General features: G+C 44.3%; 1 pseudogene, besides 4 other annotated features; it reads left to right on the plus strand.

Moving 5' to 3' along the window:
* Nucleotides 286-1250: an enhancer, noted in NCBI's record as "NANOG-H3K27ac-H3K4me1 hESC enhancer chr6:31037859-31038823 (GRCh37/hg19 assembly coordinates)". NCBI's record gives its function as "activates a minimal SCP1, AML or CMV promoter by ChIP-STARR-seq in primed H9 embryonic stem cells {active_cell/tissue: H9 hESC(primed)}" and the evidence as "EXISTENCE:reporter gene assay evidence [ECO:0000049][PMID:30033119]".
* Nucleotides 1251-2214: an enhancer, noted in NCBI's record as "NANOG-H3K27ac-H3K4me1 hESC enhancer chr6:31038824-31039787 (GRCh37/hg19 assembly coordinates)". NCBI's record gives its function as "activates a minimal SCP1, AML or CMV promoter by ChIP-STARR-seq in primed H9 embryonic stem cells {active_cell/tissue: H9 hESC(primed)}" and the evidence as "EXISTENCE:reporter gene assay evidence [ECO:0000049][PMID:30033119]".
* Nucleotides 9436-9968: an enhancer, noted in NCBI's record as "H3K4me1 hESC enhancer chr6:31047009-31047541 (GRCh37/hg19 assembly coordinates)". NCBI's record gives its function as "activates a minimal SCP1, AML or CMV promoter by ChIP-STARR-seq in primed H9 embryonic stem cells {active_cell/tissue: H9 hESC(primed)}" and the evidence as "EXISTENCE:reporter gene assay evidence [ECO:0000049][PMID:30033119]".
* On the plus strand, nt 13244-13307 carry RNU6-1133P (RNA, U6 small nuclear 1133, pseudogene; annotated as a pseudogene).
* Nucleotides 13994-14493: an enhancer, noted in NCBI's record as "H3K27ac hESC enhancer chr6:31051567-31052066 (GRCh37/hg19 assembly coordinates)". NCBI's record gives its function as "activates a minimal SCP1, AML or CMV promoter by ChIP-STARR-seq in primed H9 embryonic stem cells {active_cell/tissue: H9 hESC(primed)}" and the evidence as "EXISTENCE:reporter gene assay evidence [ECO:0000049][PMID:30033119]".

The raw sequence follows: 19530 nt of genomic DNA on the forward strand, positions 1-19530 counted from the left end.
CTGATTATCTTTGTCACACTGAATCTGTGAGTCAGTGAGTCCGTGACCCTAAGTGAGTTTCAGAGTGAAAACAGACACCAGATAAGAAGCCAGAAAACCTGGGTTCTAGTCTAGTTCTTCCCCTTAATAGTTTATTTAATCTGTCTCAACCTTATTTTATCTACTTATAGTCTATCACGGTTAAATTGAGAAATAGTTATATTTTTCTCATAGCAGAGTCTTTCAAACAATACGCAATGACAATCAAAATAGCAAAGTAGCTGTGGAAACAGTGTCCATGGCGACCAATGGTCCCATCTTTTCTTTCTTTCTTTTTTTCTTTCTTTCTTTCTTTCTTTCTTCTTCTTTTTCTTTCTTTTTCAAGGTCTCTGAGTTTCAAGTCAAGCCTAAAAAAAATTTTAAGTTTTTTTAATTTGCTGGAATGCAGTGGCATGATCATGGCTCATAGAAGCCTTAATCTCACTGGCTCAAGTAATCTTCTCACCTCAGCTTCCCAAATAGCTGGGATCATAGGCATGCACCACCATGCCCTGCTACGTTTTATTTTTATTTTTTCAATAAAGATTAGGTCTCACCATGTTGCCCAGGCTGGCCTTGAACTCCTGGACTCAAGGTATCTTCCAGCCTCAGCCTCCCAAAGTGCTGGGATTATAGGCATGAGCCACAGCACATGGACCTCATCTTTCTTTCATGTCACTAGATCAAGAAAGCTCCAGAGTTTTTCTTGTTCCCTTCAGGTGTCAAGCAATATCATTTTATGTATATAAACATCTAATTCAGAATAGTTTCACTCTTTTTTCCTATTGTCCTGCATAAAGCTTCCCCCTCCCCAGTGGACAGACTGCAATGGGCTGGCATCTGACATTTGTCTGCAGACCTCATGGTAGGAGACAGGCTGGTTTTCTGCCCTGGGAGTGGGAGTGTAGGAAAGGAGGAGGCACTGGGGACCTGTATCCCAGGTTTTCAGGGCAAGGCTGTGTAAGTATTTCCAGCAGACTAGTGTGAGGCATGCTAGGAAGCGAGCTGATGTGGAGCCGAGCTAATCCTGTCTGATGTGGCCACCTACAGGCATCAACAGGCCTCAGCAGAGAGAAGCTGAAGTGATTACTGCATTCCTATGAGCTGTGGGAGGAATAAATCGTGGAAAGAAATCCTCATTTGCAACTGTATGGCATTAGGGGTGAGGGGTCTCGGAAGAAGCACCCAAGGAGGAGGAATCCCCTGTAAGCCCCTACCAGTCCCAGAGAATGCAAAGCCCTCTTGCAAACCGTGCCTGCTCCACGCCCCAGACCACTCCTTCCCCCAACCCTTCCCCATTCTACTCAACCTTGGAGGGTTAGAAACCACCATTAGCAAGACAGGAGAAGAAGGATAGATGCATAATGTTGAGGACCTGTTTCCCCATTTCTCATCTTCCCATCCTTGCAAAGCCCTTGCTGGAGGAAAGGAGACTTACCTTTGGAACTAAACGTTGAGTTTCTGAATTGGCATTGTGTTTGGTAATATAAAATAACTACAGGACCTAAGAGAGATCAGAACAGTCTTAGTACTGTCCATATTTTCATCTTGGAATGGGGAAAACTGGCTCCACTGAGCAAGTTAAGGACGTCATAGACTGATCTGTAGATGTTCAATGAAATCTGTAATTCAAGACTAAATAACGTATTCTTGGCTGGGCACAGTGGCTCACGCCTGTAATCCCAGCACTTTGGGAGGCCGAGGAGGCGGGCGGAGGGCAGATCACCCGAGGGCAGGAGTTTGAGATCAGCCTGGCCAAAGTGGTGAAACCCCATCTCTATTAAAAATACAAAAATTAGCCAGGCGTGGTGGTGTGCACCTGTAATCTCAGCCACTCGGGAGGCTGAGGCAGGAGAATCACTTGAACCCACGAGACAGAGGTTACAGTGAGCCAAGATCATGCCACTGCACTCCAGCCTGGGCTACAAGAGCAAGACTCCATCTCAAGGAAAAAAAACTAATTAATAATAATAACTTATTCTTGAGACACATGCGATGCAAGACAAGTATTTATTGCTAGGATCTCCTCAGGTAAGCTGTGCAGTAAGTCTGTGCTGTCCTACATGGTAGCCATTAGCCACATGTAGCAACTGAGCACATGAAGTGTGGCTAGTCCAAATACAAATGTGCTCTTAAGTGCAAGACACACATGAGATTTCAAAGACTTAGTACAAAAACAGTAAAATATCTCACTAATAATTTTTATGTTTATTACTTGTCAAAATCACAATATTTTGGATATGCTGTGTTAAATAAAATTTACTATTAGAATTAATTTCACCTGTTGTTTTTTACCTTTTTGATGTGACTACTAGAACTTTGTAAATTACACGGAGCTCGCTTTCTGTGGACATGTAGTCTCTCTCACAGAGAAATACATGTATATTTCTGCTGGACATGTAGTCTCTCTCACAGGTCATAAGGCACTGAGGTCACAGGCCATAGGTTGGGATGTTTCTCCTCCAGAGAGTAGCTCATTCTCACTTTAAATCATCCTAAAGAACACAGGTACTGGTAGGTAGGTGGGCCGCAAGCTGGATTGAGTGGGGAAACTTCCTGCTGTCTTTGAACCAGAACAAGAACAGAGTTGGGAGCCTGTATTTTGCATAGTGAAGGCACACTCAAGGGAGCCACCTATCTTGGGGAGTTATGCTGGCCCCCAAAACTCAGAGCGTGCTAAAGGTGAGGCAGAGAAGCCTCCTGTAGCAAGTGCATACAGGGAGGGGCGTGGGCCTCTGAAATCTGAAAGCACCATGTCTCATTTCCAGTTTTAAGTGTACCTGGAATTCTCTTCTGTTATCCCTAGGTCTTTAGTGGAGCCTGATTAAACATGAGGCTGAGGGCAGCTGTGGGAGCTGAGGGTGGATTCTGTGCCCACTCGTGGCCCCCCCACTGGCCATGGCTTCCTCCCCAGCAGGCCTCGACAGCAGTCTCTGGAGCCTCTGGCCCAGCTTGCTGCGGGTCGCTGCTGTTCTCTTTGTGTCTCTTAGCCTGTGACTTCAATGCAGTCATCTCATTTCTGGGAATCTATCCAATTCTCAATTGTGTAAAAAGCTTTATAAACAAAAAAAGTGCATTACAGTTTACTATCTTAACAAAATATTGGAAGCAGCAGAAACATTTAGCAGTAAAAACTATAAATTATAGACTATGTACTTTGTGCATCATTGGGAAGCCACTTAAGTGACTTTTATTAAAACTTATATTAACAAAGAAGACAATAGTGTCATAATAATTTATTTAAAAAGAATTAAAGGCCAGGCACAGTGGCTCATGCTGTAATCCCAGCACTTTGGGAGGCCGAGGCTGGCGGATCACTTGAGGTCATGGCAAAACCCCATCTCTACTAAAAATACAAAAATTAGCCAGGCGTGGTTGGTGGGTGCCTGTAATTCCAGCTACTTGGGAGGCTGAGGCACGAGAATCTCTTGAACCCGGCAGGCAGAGGTTGCAGTGAACAGAGATCACGCCACTTTACTCCATCCTGGGTGACAGAACTAGACTGTCTCAAAAATAAATAAATAAATAAATATAAGGAATTAAGGAACACACAATTATATATGCAATTGGTGACAATAAAATACAACCCCTCAAAAAGAACAAAAACAAAAACCTAAACAACAACAACCACCTAGGTATAAAGAAAAGACTAGAAAAAAATGTTTTAAAATGAAACCATAACTGTATTAGGGTTCTCCAGAGAAACAGAACTAAAACCTCTCTCTCTCTGTCTCTCTCTCTCTCTCATATAGATGAGAAGACACACTCAAAGGAGCTCATATAGGTGAGAGAGAGATTTTAAGGAATTGGCTCACACGATTGTGGAGATTGGCAAGTCCAAAATTTGCAGGGAAAACTGGCAGGCTTGGAGACAAAAGTTAATGTCACAGTTCAGGCCTAAGGGCAACCTGGAGGCAGAATTCCCTCTTCCTTGGGGGATGTCAGACCCACTCACATACGGGAGGGTAATTTGCTTTATTCAAAGTCCATCCATTTAAATGTTGATTTCATCTACAAAATACCTTAGTAGAAACATCTAGAATAATGTTTGACCAAATATTTGGGTACCATGGCTTAAGCATACTGACACATGAAATTAACCTTTGGCTGGGCACAGCAGCTCATCCCTGTAATCTCAGCACTTTGGGAGGTTTAGATGGGTGGATTGCTTGAGCCCAGGAGTTCAAGACCAGCCTGGGGAATATAGTGAGACTCTGTCCCTACAAAAAACAACGAGAAAAAATTAGCTAGGCATGGTGGCGAGTGCCTGTGGTCCCAGCTGCTCGGGAGGCTGAGGTGGGAGGATCTCTTGAGCCTGAGAAGTTGAGGCTGCAGTGAGCCGTGATTGTGCCACTGCACTCCAGCCCGAGTGACAGAGTAAGACCATGCCTCAAAAAATTAATTAATTCATTAAATTTAATAAATATTTTTAAAAATTAACTTTCACAATGATCTAAGGCTTACTACTTTAGGATTTGCTTTTGAAATACTTTTCTGTGTTTTCCAAAATACATAAAATAATAAAGATGTACTTATGATGGAAAAGGCCTGTGTAAACACATTTTAAAACACAGCCTCCTTGGGGTAGCCCCAGAGTCCCAGGGCTCTCCATGGCCCCTTGGACACCTTTCACAGCATTCCTCACCTCTGTCTTCTACCATTATTATGCATGTCTGAATATGTCTTCCTTTGCTAAACATCAAACAGAGTTTTAGGACTGGGATTCTAGAAAGTGAGAGAAGGCAGGCGCAGAGGAGGCAGTGGGAGCCTGCCTGAGGGCATTAACGTCAGTCCTGGGCTATGTGCTGGCTCCTCAGGACCGCCCTTCTGAGGGGCACAGACACGTGAGTGGAGGGAGCTCATGTTCCAGTTTCTTTGCAAAAATCAACTTGATAAAGTTTTTCCTGTTTTGTTAAAATTGCCTAAAATTTTTTAGCAATACTTCATTTGATTTTCTCTAATGGTTTCTGTCATTTCTTTGAGTTTTAATTTATTGCTCATGCTTTAACATCCCAGTTTATGTCTTGCTTAATTTAATGTCCATATAGTTGACCCTTGAGCAACATGGATTTGAACTGCATAGGTCCACTTAGGTCCACTTATGCATGGGTTATTTTCAATCAAATGCAGATCACAAACACAGTAATGGTGACATGTGAAACCCATGTATACAAAGGCCCAACTTTACATATATTTGGGACCCAAAGGGCTGACTGTGGGACTTGAATATGTGTAGGTTTTGGTATACACAGGAGTCTTGGAACCAATCCCCCTCATATACCAAGGGACTACTGTATATCTGCTTTGTTTATTTCTTTTTTTTTTTTTTGAGGTGGAGTCTCACTCTGTTGTCCAGGCTGGAGTGCAGTGGCGCCATCTCGGCTCACTGCAACCTCCGGCTCCCGGGTTCAAGTGATTCTCCTGCCTCAGACTCTCAAGCATCTGGGACTCCAGTCACCCGCCACGCCCAGCTAATTTTTTGTATTTTTAGTAGAGACGGGGATTCACCATGTCGGCCAGGTTGATCTCCAACTCCTGACCTCAAGTGATCCGCCAGCCTCAGCCTCCCAAAGTGCTGGGATTACAGTCGTGAGCCACGGTGGCCAGTCTCATTACCATTTGTTAAGAACTCATTTGGGCGGGCAACAGGTATACATCGCCTCATGAAAACTGAGTCACTCAGCCTGTGCTCCCACCTGGACAGAACACCATGCAGCCTCTGCTTAGAGATGCTCCACAGGAGCCAGTGTGGAAACACCAGGGCCAGGCATCCTTTAGAAAACCATTTTGGGATTGCTCCAGCTCATGAACCAGCAGTTAACTGAGTCACCAGCCATATCATAAAGCATGACTACAACTACGCAGGCCTGGTCCCTAACCCCATGTTGTTACAGCAAAATATAACCCATTCTTATTTCAGAAAAAGAAAAAAAGCTAGATGTGATGGCACATGCCTGTAGTCCTGGCTACTTGGGGGGCTGAGTCAGAGGATCAGTTGAGCCCAGGAGTTCAAGGTCACAGTCAGCTGATTGTACCACTGCACCCCAGCCTGGGCAACAGAGGGAGACCATCTCTAAATAAAATAAGACAAAAACAACAACAAAAAAAAAACAGAAGAAGAAAATATACCAAAATGTTAACAATGTCTTCTATCTTTATTTATTGGGGTTAGAAATTACTTTTGTTTTCTTATATTATGTATATTTTATTTCAAACCTGATAATTTTTTTTTCCTTTTTGAGACAGGATCTCGCTCTGTTGCCCAGGGTGGAGGGCAGTGGTGCGATCTCGGCTCATTGCAGCCTCAGCCTCCCAGGCTCAGGCAATCCTCCCACCTCAGCTCCCTGAGTAGCTGGGGCTACAAGAACACGCCACCATGCCTGGCTAATTTTGTTCGCTTTTTGTAGAGATGGAGATCTCACTACGTTGTCCAGGCTGGTTGCAAACTCCTGGACTCAAGCCCTCCTGCCTCGGCCTCCCAAAGTGCTGGGATTACAGGCGTGAGCCACCATGTCCAGCCAATGTTATTTAATTTATTTATTTTTATTTATTTATTTTTTTGAGACAGGGTCTCATTCTGTTGTCCAGACTAGAGTGCAGTGGTGCAATCATGGCTTATCGCAACCTCAACTTCCCTGGGCTGAGGTGATCCTCCTACCTTAGCCTCCCAAGCAGCTGGGACTACAGGTGTGAGCCACCACACCTGGCTAATTTTTGTATTTTTTGTAGAGATGGGGGTCTTACTATGTTGCTCAGGCTGGTCTTGAACTCCTGGACTCAAGTTATCCTCCCACCTCGGTGTCCCAAAGTGCTGGTATTACAGATGTGAGCCACCATGTCCAGCCTTATTTTTAAAAGAAGGAGAAAATTATTGAGCAAGAGAGTCTCTCTGCAGTTCTTAAGATTGCTGTCAGAACCACCTCAATACTCTTTCTGCAGTCTGTGCTTTGAGCAGCAATATAAAAATGCAGCATTTTATGAGCATTAATAGCAGGGAATGTAAATTAGCCTATTTGTTTTGGCTCTGCTTTGCTTCTGATCATTAGAGGCCAGCAAAAATAGAATGAGAACTGCAAACTCCCTCTTGTTCCCGGAAGATCTCTCCACAGCATGGCATATCAGTCAGATTTCTGGGCTGTCTCATCTCCGTCTCCGTAAGAAAGGATCTTGTTGGAAATACATTGAGGCATACACTGAAGCAGAGGCCCCAGTGCCACCTGGGCAGAGGCAAGCCAGAGAAAACAGAGGGAAATGAAAAGAAAGACTTCCTGGTATTCACTTCTACATACTGCCAGCTAAGCTGCGCTGGGTACCCAGAGCCCACCCACCACATCTACACCACAAATTCAACTGGGACTTCGGGCTTTTTTTTTTTTTTTTTGAGTCTGAGTTTCGCTCTTGGTTCCCAGGCTGGAGTACAGTGGCAGGATCTTGGCTCACCACAACCTCCGCCTCCTGGGTTCAAGTGATTCTCCTGCCTCAGCCTTCCTGAGTAGCTGGGATTACAGGCATGCACCACTACGGCTGGCTAAGTTTTTTGTTTTTTTTTTTTTAGTATAGACGGGGTTTCTCCATGTTGGTTAGGCTGGTCTTGAACTCCTAACCTCAGATGATCCGCCCACCTTGGCCTCCCAAAGTGCTGGGATTACAGGCCTGAGCCACTGTGCCTGGCCGGGCCTTCAGGCTTTATGTAGCTGATTGAACACAACCATCTCTGCTCCCAGCAGAAATCCCACCAAAATGTGATAAAGGGGTTTTAAAAGGCAAGGACTGACAAGAACAAAAGGCGGGGGGAGAGGAGAGAGAGAGAGAGAGAGAGAGAAACTGACTACACAATCTAAATAAATAGAGAATAATGATCTGGATAACAAATAGACAAAGGTCTTAGCAGATAAGAGAAATTTAAAGGTAAAATGTCAGTGGGAGAATCCCAGAAGCAGGCTGATTTCACATAGCAGAACCCCAGTAAGGAATGGAGAAACCAAGTATCCCAAACGTGAGTGTGCAAGAGGCCTGGAACCAGAGGCTGATGGTCTATGTAAGAAGCCACTAGAACCCTAGATCTCCTAACTCAACGCACATGGCAGAGTGACCCCCTATATTCCACCCTAATGAGTGGTTTGCTCGCTGGAGGCGTTGAACCATGCCACATCCTGGGAACCACAATGAAAATCATTTAAGGCTGGGCGTGATAGCTCATGCTTATAATCCTAGCACTTTGGGAGGCCAAGGCAGGAGGATCACTTGAGTCCAGGAATTCAAGACCAGCCTAGGCAACAGAGCAAGATCCCCAGCTCTACCAAAAAAAAAAAAATTACATATATATATATATAGCCTATGGCCTTCTGGCTTTATGTGGCCAGAAGAAAACAAAATAAAATAATTTAAAAAATAGAAAATAAGTAATAATAAAAGAAATAAAATAAGAGAAGCAATAAAAGAAAAGAAAAAGTCATTTAGGATTATGTAAAAGCCTGCCTATCGAACAGTAAGGCTTCCTGGTCCCCTCCATGAAGTTGGTTCTGAGAACTCCAGCAGCCAGACTTGCCCCAGGCCGATTAATAGAGAAACCTTCTCTGGAGAAACTGACCAGACAAGGAAAAACACCTAGGAACACAGGAGTAAGGGGGTTCTGACGGATATTAAGCTACTGTCACTTGACTTCAAAACCCTCTTCCACTCTCTCCTTCCCAGCTGGCTCCCTCTTAGGTGTAGAGGGAGGTGTCAGCACTGGAGGAAGAAGGGATCCCTTCCCTTGTTGGCCTCCCAATCCTGCCGGCATCACCACAGCCGAGGATCTTCAGCCCTGTAGCAACAGCTGGTCCAGCAGCAGTAGCAAGTCCCAAACTGTGGTTCTTCCTCACTCCCGGCAAAGGCCTCTTCCCGTGGCCTCAGTGATACCGGCTCACTGGCCAGGCTCCTCCTTAGGAAACTGAATTCTAGCTCCGTGGGGCCATCCTCCCAGATTCTCCCATTGAATAATACTGACCTCTTCCCTCAGTTCCCCAAGACTGAGGGAGAGGCAGTTGCCCCATTCCTGATTCCCACGCGTTCTACCTCTGCGGTATCTCAGTGCTCTTTTTGTCTTTTTAGATCTCAATATGTGGTTAACAATCCTTTATATAAAATTACCTCTGTCTGGGCGCGGAGGCTCACGCTTGCAATCCCAGCACTTTGGGAGGCCGAGGCAGGTGGATCACCTGAGGTCAGGAGTTTGAGACCAGCCTGGCCAATATGGTGAAACCCTGTCTCTACTAAAAATACAAAACTTAGCTGGGTGTGGTGGCAGGTGCCTGTAATCCCACTACTTGGGAGGCTGAGGCAGGAGAATCATTTGAACCCGGGAGACCGAGGTTGCAGTGAGCCGAGATTGTGCCACTGCACTCCAGCCTGGGCAACAGAGTGAAATTCCTTTTCAAATAGAATAAAATAAAACAAAATTACCTCTGTTTAAATATTTGGATTTTTTTCTTTCACCTGACTAGACCCTAATACAAGGGTCTTCTGGAGAAACAGTTCAGCCCATTTGCACTATGGTGAAGCCCACTGAAACCTCCCCCCATCCCCAACACACACACCTGGAGTTTCCAAACAGCTTAAGATCTAACTAAGCCAAGGATTACTGTATCATTCACAAAGCCCAAGCCCCAATTTGAGCAGAGAAAGTTTATTATTAGAAAGAATTATTGGCTGTAACAGGCTAAAAAGACGTGCAGAGAACTCCAAAGAATGCTGTAGGGCCGCGGGAGAGTACCCAAAGAAGGACACACGTGGAAGCATCCCCACCCCAAAGCTGGATTCAGAACTCAAGGCAGAAAGTGTGCATGTGCCCACCAGGTACCAGATTATTTCCCTGGGATGCCCAGGCCAAAGCCTGTGAACAGTCATGAGCAAGCAGGAAACTGGGGGGGTCGCGGCATCGGGAGCCCACTCACTGCATGCAAGGCCTGGGGCATGCAGGGTCCACGTCAGGGCCAGCTCGCTGGGGGAACGCATGCTGTCAGCACGCAGCTAGGACAGAGACCACCGGATGTTCCCACCTGGCCACTGATGGGCCCTGCCGCAGGAGCAACAAGAATCACAAACCATAGCTCCCGGAACCAGAGATAAAAGAAATTCTTTCCTCTGGCAGTGTCCCTCCGGCGCCCTCTACTGAGAAAGCTTAATATTGTGCTGGCTGCGAAGGAGAACCGCTTAATTCAATACAGATCAGTTAAGAGGATGGATTTACGGTTGAGAGGCAATACATTGATAAGAAACTAGTCATTATGGGATGAAAACCACTGACATGAAAGACAGGTATTGAAAACACAAGAATTAAGGAATATAAAGCCAGGCGCGGTGGCTCACGCCTGTAATCTCAGTGCCTTCGCAAGCCAAGCTGGGCGGATCGCTTGAGCCCAAGAGTTCAAGAACAGCCTGAGCAAAATGGCGAGATTCTGTGTCTACAAAAAGTACAAAAATTAGCCGGGCGCGGTGGCGTGCACCTGTAGTCTCAGCTGCTCAGGAGGCTGAGATGGGAGGATCACTTGAGTCCGGGAGGTCGAGGCTTCATTGAGCTGTGATTAAGCCATTGCCCTGGACCACAACAGAGAGACCCTGTCAAAAAAAAAAAAAAAAAAAAAAGAAGAAGAAGAAGAAGAGGAAATTTAGAGAATGCAAAGAGCCAAATAATAAAATCCACTGCAATTAATATTTTCATAAACATAAGAGACGATATTTTCTCCATGGTAAAAGAACACATTATTAAATAAAAAATTTAAAGTTGAAGAAATCTTCTAAAAAGAAGCAAAGGGTAAAGAAATGTAGATGGGACCGGGCACAGTAGCTCAGGCCTGTAATCCCAGCACTTTGAGTTGCGGAAGTGGGTGGATCACTTGAGATTAGGAGTTCGAGACCAGCCTTACCAACATAGTGAAACCCCGTCTCTACTAAAAATACAAAAATTAGCCAGGCGTGGTGGCATACGCCTGTAATCCCAGCTACTTGGGAGGCTAAGGCAGGAGAATCGCTTGAACCCGAGAGAGGTGGAGATTGGAGTGAGCCGAGATAGTGCCACTACACTCCAACCTGGGTGACTCCATCTCAAAAGAAAAAAAAAAAGGAAAAGAAATGTAGATGGTATAGAAAATATATGAAAATTAGATCATCTGGATGAATAGGAGGATTTCTAGAAAGAATAGACAGAGGGAACAGAAGGGATGAAATTATCAAAGAAATAATTCAAGAACTTTTCTCAGAACTGAGAGATATGGTTCCAAAGTGAGATAGACCTCAAGTGTCTAACAGAAGTGTCTAACAAAAGGAATGAAATCCAAGGCATACTACCATAATTTTAAAAATACTGAGGACAAAAAGAAAAATCCCAAAATTGGACAAAAAGAAAAAAACAGGTCACATGAAAAAGATCAAAACTCAAATGGTATAGGGTTTTCTCTTTTTTTCTTTCTCTTTTCCTTTTTTTTTTTTTTTTTTTTTGAGACAGGATCTCACTCTGTCACCCAGGCTGGAGCGTAGTGATACAATCATGGATCACTGCAGCCTTGAACTCCTGGGCTCAAGGGATCGTCCCCTCTCAGCCTTCTGAAAACTACAGACACGTACCACCATGCCCAGCTAATTTTTAAATTTAATTTTATTTTTTGTAGAGACGAAATCTTACTACGTTGCCCAGGCTGGTCTTGAACTCCTGGGCTCAAGCAATCCTCCCACTTTGGCTTCCCAAAGTGCTGGTATTACAGGTGCGCACCATAACACCTAGCTGAGGACTTTTCAACAGTAGCACTGGAAGCTGGAAGATAGTGGAGCAGTGCTTTCCTAATTTAGGTGTAAATTTTACAACTTGGAATTTTATTTTCAGTAAAACTATTAATCAGATGTAATCATAATATAAAAGACATTTTCAGACAAAATTTCAAAAATTGCCCTCCCTTGCCCCTTTCCTTAGGAAGTTCCATCAAAGTAAGGGATTAGATCAGGAGAGATAAAGATGTGGGATCCTCCAAAGAGTGAGGAGAATGAAAATCCCAGGAGGTTGCTGTGTAGGAGAACTAGGGATCCGCAGGTCCAGATTAAAATGGTTTGGAGGCCGGGCATGGTGGCTCCTGCTTGTAATCCCAGCACTTTGTGAAGCCAAGGCGGGTGGATCACCTGAGGCTAGGAGTTTGAGACCAGCCCGGCCAACATAGTGAAACCCCGTCTCTACCAAAAACACACAAAAGAATTAGCTGGGCATGGTGGCACATGCCTGTAATTCCAACTACTCAAGAGGCGGAGGCAGAGAATTTCTTGAACCCAGAAGGCAGAAGTTGCAGTGAGCCAAGATTTCACCACTGCACTTCTGCCTGGGTGACAGAGTGGATCTCAAAAAGAAAAAAGAAAAAAAAAAAAGGCTTGGGGCCAAAACCTCAGGGATTAAGAAAATTCCTTTACCTGGTTACAGAAAGATATTACCAAGAAAAAGAGGGAATTGATTAATTGTAATACATTAGACTGCAGAGAAAAAATAGACTTCTATAGAATCTGCTGACAAATTTGTGATAAATTCATAGACAAATGATCAAAAGAAAACCTAGTAGATCTGTATAATTCTGGATATCATTCCATAAAGCCCAGCTTAGAACCTGTGCCCTCAGCCCTTATAAAGATTTCAAAAGCTCTTAATACCCTTTGTAAAATGTCTTCCTGTTAATTTACCTAGCGTAATCTCTAGTTGCTGCACTGAACCCTGACTGATATAACTTGTTATTAAGAAACAGGAAGATAAAAACTAATTGAGCATCGAAGTGCTTTTACTTCTAGGAAGAGAGAATTAGGGGTTGGTACCGGACTATAGCTTTTGTTCTGTCTTTGGCTTTTTAAATTACATATCTGTAATTTATATACACACACATATATATTTGGCTTTTAAAATTACATATCTGTATAAATCTGATAAAAATTTTAAATAGTTAAATAAAAACTTATTTAGGAGATAATATATTAGAATACTAAGATGAGTGCTGAGTTTAAAAAACAAAAAGGCCAGGAGCGGTGGCTCACACCTGTAATCCCAGCATTTTGGGAGGCCAAGGTGGGTGGATCACCTGAGGTCAGGAGTTTGAGACCAGCCTGACCAACATGGTGAAACCCTGTCTCTACTAAAAATACAAAAAAATCAGCTGGGGATGGTGGCAGGTGCCTGGGTAACAGAGTGAGACTCCGTCTAAAAATGAAAGTGGCATCTGATACAGAGAAGATTAGCATGGCCCCTGCTCAAGGATGACACACAAATTTGTGAAGGGTTCCATTTAAAAAAAAAAAAAAGTCTGAGCGAGGTGGCTCAGTCCTGTAATCCCAGCACTTCGGGAGGCCAAGGCGGGAGGATCACTTGAGGTCAGGGGTTCAAGTCCAGCCTGGCCAACATGGCGAAACTCCGTCTGTACTAAAGTACAGAAAAATTAGCTGGGCATGGTGGTGCATGCCTGTAGTCCCAGCCCCAGCTACTCCGGAGGCTGAGGCAGCAGAATTGCTTGAACTCAGGAGGCGGAGGTTGCAGTGAGCTGAGATCATGCCATTGCACTCCAGCCTGGGCAAGAAGAGCAAAATTCCATCTCAAAAAAAAAAAAAGGGCATCTGAATATATACAATTACAATGTCAATAAAAATAGATAAATGAATAAATACAGTTAGTCTTTTTTTTTTTAATGGCATCTGGACATTCCTACATTCTGGAAGATTTACAAATACATAGTGGGGATACCTCTCATAAATGTATAAGCCTCTCAGTTTTTCCTTCCAATGCATTGCAGATTGTCCTTATTTAGCCCTTTCCCCTGGGAACCTGAGACTGAGAGCAGTGCAAGCTATGCTTTTTTTGTAAACACAGCACCTCACATTTCTAGAAGACAACCCTAAGTAAACTTCAGGGCCCTACGTCGGTCACCATTCCATCTGCTCTTCTCTGCTCTGATTCTTCCTATCCCTCAGAAACCCAAGGCCTCCTTAGCCAAACGGAGCTGCTGTGGTCGCAAATAGCCTTGTGCCCCTGGGAACCTGTGAGATGCAATATGTCGTCAGTCTCCCTCAATCTTGGCCTGAGTCCAAGAGAAAGGCAGCTGCTCTGAGGTTCGAGACTCTCCAGTGACTCAGCTCTCTAATTCCCAGTACTCTGTGCATATGCCCTCCTCAATTCCATCTCCTAGACTTGCCAGATGTAGGTCGAGTCCTCAAAGATGAGATAACCAAGATGCAAAATCCTAAAATCCTCCATTAAGCACCTACCAGCTGCAGAGGCCCTGCTGGGGCCCTGAGGGAGATGTGTGTGGCAGACTGCAGGCCAAGTAAGTCCTTCTTTAAGGCTGGTGTCATGAGAATTACTCAATGCCGCCTCCTGCTGGGGAAGGACACTTCACCCCTTTTATGGAAGCCCAACGGGAAGGACTCATGGGACAGGGCAGGCTGCCCTGTCTCTTTTTTAGGCAGTCACTGCAATCACACATGCTCACTAATCCAGTTCACTAAGGTACGAAGCCACAATAAAGTTTGGAGCCAAAACTGTAGATATAAAGAGAGTTCCTTTATCTGGAATGGCCTCGATTTTTGAATAAGGAGTTTTTTGTTGTTGTTTTGTTTTGTTTTGTTTTGTTTTTGAGACAGAGTTTCACTCTTTTGCCCAGGCCGGAGTGAAGTGGCAAGATCTCTGCTCACTGCAGCCTCCGCCTCCCGGGTTCAAGCAATTCTCCTGCCTCAGCCTCCTGAGTAGCTGGGATTACAGGCGCCTGCCACCACGCCTGGCTAATTTTTGTACTTTTAGTAGAGATGGGGTTTCGCCATGATGGCTAGGCTGGTCTCGAACTCCTGCCCTCACGTGATCCGCCGGCCTCGGCCTCCCAAAATGCTGGGATTACAGACGTGAGCCACCAAGCCCATCCATAAGGTTATATTTTTTAATGTCCTGCCTCCTCCTCTTTTTTTTTCTTCTCTTTTTGTTTTCAAATAACTAAAGATGCACAGAAAGTTGCAAAATTAGTACCGAGATGTCCTGTGCACTCTTCACGCAGCTTCCCCAGTGGTAAGCTCTTACATACTACAGTACATTATCAGAACAAGCAATTGATGCATATTTTCTCAATGCATTGCAGTAGGTGGATTTGGTACTTGAGACCCTCAACAATCTCTTTCCGCATATCATGACTAACAGTATAGGCTCATGGTTTTTAAAGGACTGCCCTTTGAAGGAACTGGATGGAATTTTGTTTGCAAAGAGCTGAGAATCACTGGAGAGGCAATAAATGGAAATGTTCCTGTAGATTGTCACTATAGAGAGCAGGGCTGATGGATGTCAAAGGATATCCAGGGATATAAGCCCTCAGCAGGGAGGAGAGCAAAAAGGCCAGTGTGGTTGGTTATTGGAGAAGTTATTTGGATAGTTTTTAATTAGAGACATCTCTTGCATGAATGGATTTCCTAATGAAATCAAATTTTGATTGTGGAAAGCATAATTAACATGTAGGAAACATCAGTATATTCTAGGACCTGAGAGTAAAGGATGAAGTCCCTTTTAGAGAGATACACTGTTCTCTTTTAGGAAGATGGGCATAGAAGTGCAGGAAGTCAACTAGACGTGTTAAAATATAAATTTTTGGCTGCTTGTAACAGAGACACAAATGCCACTGGTTTAAATTAGGTAGAAAATGTTTTCCCACCCTTGGATCCAAGCACATGAGGACCCTGCCCGGGCTCCATGATCTAGAGGGACCTGCTCTATCATTCCCCCAACTTATAGGACAAAAAGTCCGAGAAGCCAAAGGGATAGACCTACCCATGGAGGTTGCATCTCTTCTACAAGTACTACAGTCTAGGTACTTGGAACCCCTGAATTCCTGGCACTAATGGCCCCCAAGCCTGCTTCCAAGTTTGCATGGGCCTCCTCCTGGGGCCATCGTCCCAGGGGTTATGCCTCGCTGCTGTCGTGCATGCTCTGAGACCCCAAAATGTGGCTGTTTTCAGAGAAGGATATGGGTCTGGAGATTTTAGGGACTTGAATTTTCAGGAAAAGAAAGTAGGGCAGATGCAGGTAGAGGACCCAGAGCTAGTTTTCCTCACTCAGCCATATTCTGCCATGGAACCTAGGGGAGTCTCAGAATTCTAAATTCCAGCCTGGCTGTCCTAGCCTGGATTCCCCAGAAAACAGATTCTCAGATAGATTTATCTGCAGAAGTTTTATTGGGGAACAATCTTGGGACAAACACCTTTAAAAGCTGAGAGAAACGGGACAGGGAAAGGGAGCAGTTGAACTGTAATGAAGCCGTAAAGAGTACTGAGCTGATCTCATGGGTTGTGGAGGCCTCTGGCACTGGAAAAGTCCTTTAAATTTGGCCAAACTCGGCCGGGCGCGGTGACTCACGCCTGTAATCCCAGCACTTTGGGAGGCCGAGTGGGGGAGGATTATCTGAGGTCAGCAGTTCAAGACCAGCCTAGTTAACATGGTGAAACCCCGTTTCTACTAAAAATACAAAAAATTAGCCGGGCATGGTGGCATGCGCCTGTAATCCCAGCTACTCAGGAGGCTGAGGCTGGAGAATCACTTGAACCCAGGAGGCGGAGGTTGCAGTGAGCAGAGATTGTGCCATTGCACTCCAGCTCGGGCAACAAGAGCGAAAGTCCATCTCAAACAAACAAACAAACAAACAAACAAAAAGGTGGCCAAACTTGAAGCAAGGTAACCAGGACTTTGTATGTTCTTATCTTATCTATCAGTCATTGGATGTGGCTGCCCCCAGGGAGGGGAGGTGTAACCTTGGGCAAGACAGCTCTTTTCAGCTAAGGGCAATTCCCAGAGACAGAGCTGTCACAACCAACACCCCTGGCAGCTGGGGAATAAGTGACAATGTTGAAGGTAGGATTTGGGTGGCACACAACAGTATCTGCTACACTAGCCTTCAAGATCAGTATGAAGGTATATTTATCAAGACAAAAGCTGGAACATGTTTTATTCAATAATTTATTTGTTTGACTTATAACAATAAACCATCTCTAACACACATTTCCCTTCCTGATATCAGACAGCTGCTCTGAGGGATACCCGAGACCCACATTCAGGAAGTAAGATAGATATCAGCCTGGACTGCTGAATAGATGCCCTGTGATTTATCTTCAGACATGACTCAGTGGAAATGCAGTTGACTCCATTCTAAAACCTCTCTTGAGAATATTTCCAGGCCCAGTCAACTTATCTTGGTCTCACTATAAGGAAAGGAACTGAGATCAGCTGCACCCTGAGAGGCTAAGATCCTGATAGGGAGCAGGTGAAATCAGGTTGGAAAATAGACAAGACAAAGGCAGGCAGATGTAAGAGGTATTCAAAAGCCCAGTTGTGCTCTATTTTTGCCTTCCACGAGGAATCTTACGGGGAGCTTCCACATTACCCGGTTATTGGTCACGGCGGTGAGTTAAGGCTGTTTTATTGAATGAAATCATCAACCCCCCTCCTTTTCCTGCTAAAACGCAATCTGTTTCCAAGACTTTCCTAATGTAGAGTGATTTTATTGAGCCTAGACCATGGATTTCCCATCTGATAACTCTTTAAGAGGGATGAGATAGAACATAATGTGAGAAAATAACATTGTTCCAAGATTTGTAAATGCTAATAATTGTTGAAGTCCCATGGTAGGTAAATAGAGGTATTTTCTTTATTTTTGTGTAAGTTTGAAAATTTCCATAATAAAAAGTGTTATAAATTGTCTTAGCAGGTCACATAACTAATAATAAAGGTAAAATTTTTGTTGGTCTTAATGAGAGAGAATTTGGAAAGTGGAGATAAGCGGGGCTTTGGAGCTCCTAAACTATTCGGGCTGTGTTTTGACTCAGCGAGCTCAAAGTGGGAGGGCAGGAGAGCTCGCTTTTTAAAAGATCGACAGCGCCATCTACCGGTAAGAGCGCCCAACTCCCTTGCTAAGGATGATATCATTATGCTAGGGTGATAGTAGCAAGCCTCATTGTTAGTCACCTAAGAAGTTAAGACAATAAGAAATCATTCAAAAAATAAAATGGTGGCAGGACGAGGTGGCTCACGCCTGTAATCCCAGCATTTTGGGAGGCCGAGAGGGGAGGATCGCTTGAGCCCAGGAGTTTGAGACCAGCCTGGGCAACATAGTGAGGTCCAAATCGCTACCAAAAAAAAAAAAAAAAAAAGAGAAAAAAAAAAGAAAGGCGTTAAAATTAATTTAAAGATACACAATAATGAAAATATTACAAAGTACTATTATTCAGCCATAAAAAAGAAATTACATTCTATTTATTTATTTTATTTTATTTTATTTTGCAGACAGAGTCTTGCTCTGTCACCCAGGCTGGAGCGCAGTGGCGCAATCTTGGCTCACTGCAACGTCCGCCTCCCCGGTTCAAGGGTTTCTCCTGTCTCAGCCTCCTGAGTAGCTGGGATTACAGGCACGCGCCATCACGCCCAGCTAATTTTTGTATTTTTTTTAGTAGAGACGGGGTTTCACCATGCTGGCCAGGCGGGTCTCCAACTCCTGACCTCAGGTGATCTGCCAGCCTCGGCCTCCCAAAGTGCTGGGATTACAGGCATGAGCCACCGCGCCCAGCAGAAATTACATTCTGATACATGCTACAACATGGATGAACATTGAAAAAATTATGTAAAATGAAATAAGCCAGACACAAAAGGACAAATATTGTATGATTTCACTTACGTTAGATATTTAAAATGGGGAAATCTGGTTTGCCAGCACAGCAGGAAAAAAAATAAATAAAAGTAAAATACAAAAATCATAGAGGTGAAAAGTCAATTTGGCCAGGTGCCGTGGCTCATGCCTGTAATCCCAGCACTCTGAGAGGCTGAGGCAGGAGAACTGTTTGAGGCCAAGAGTTCGAGACCAACCTGGGCAACATGGTGAGACACCCACCCCCACCACCTCTAAAAAAAAAAAAAGAAAAGAAAATAAGTCGATTAGAGGTTACCAGGGGCTGGGCGGAAAGGAGAATGGGGAGTTATTGCTTAATGGGTAATGAGTTTCTGTTTGGAGTAATGAAAAAAATTTGGAAACAGATAGTGGTTGACAGCTGCACAACAACGTCAAATGTAATTAATGCCAATGAATTATACATTTAAAATGGTTAGGCTGGGTGCAGTGGCTCAGGCCTGTAATCCCAGCACTTTGGGAGGCCGAGGTGGGAGGATCACCTGAGGTCAGGAGTTCAAGACCAGCCTGGCCAACATGGTGAAACCCCATCTGTACTAAAAATACAAAAATTAGCCAGGCATAGTGGCAGGCACCTGTAATCCCAGCTACTCAGGAGTCTGAGGCAGGAGAATTGCTTGAACCTAGGAGGTGGAGGTTGCAGTGAGCCGAGATCGTGCCACTGTACTCAAGCGTGGGCAACAGAACGAGACTCCGTCTTGAGAAAATAAAATAAAATAAAATAAAATAAAATGGTTAAATGGGAAATCTTACCTTATATACATTTTCATATATATAACATACACACACACACACACACACACACATA

Source organism: Homo sapiens, chromosome 6, assembly GCF_000001405.40.
Source record: "Homo sapiens chromosome 6, GRCh38.p14 Primary Assembly".
In the NCBI taxonomy this organism is placed as follows: Eukaryota; Metazoa; Chordata; class Mammalia; order Primates; family Hominidae; genus Homo; species Homo sapiens.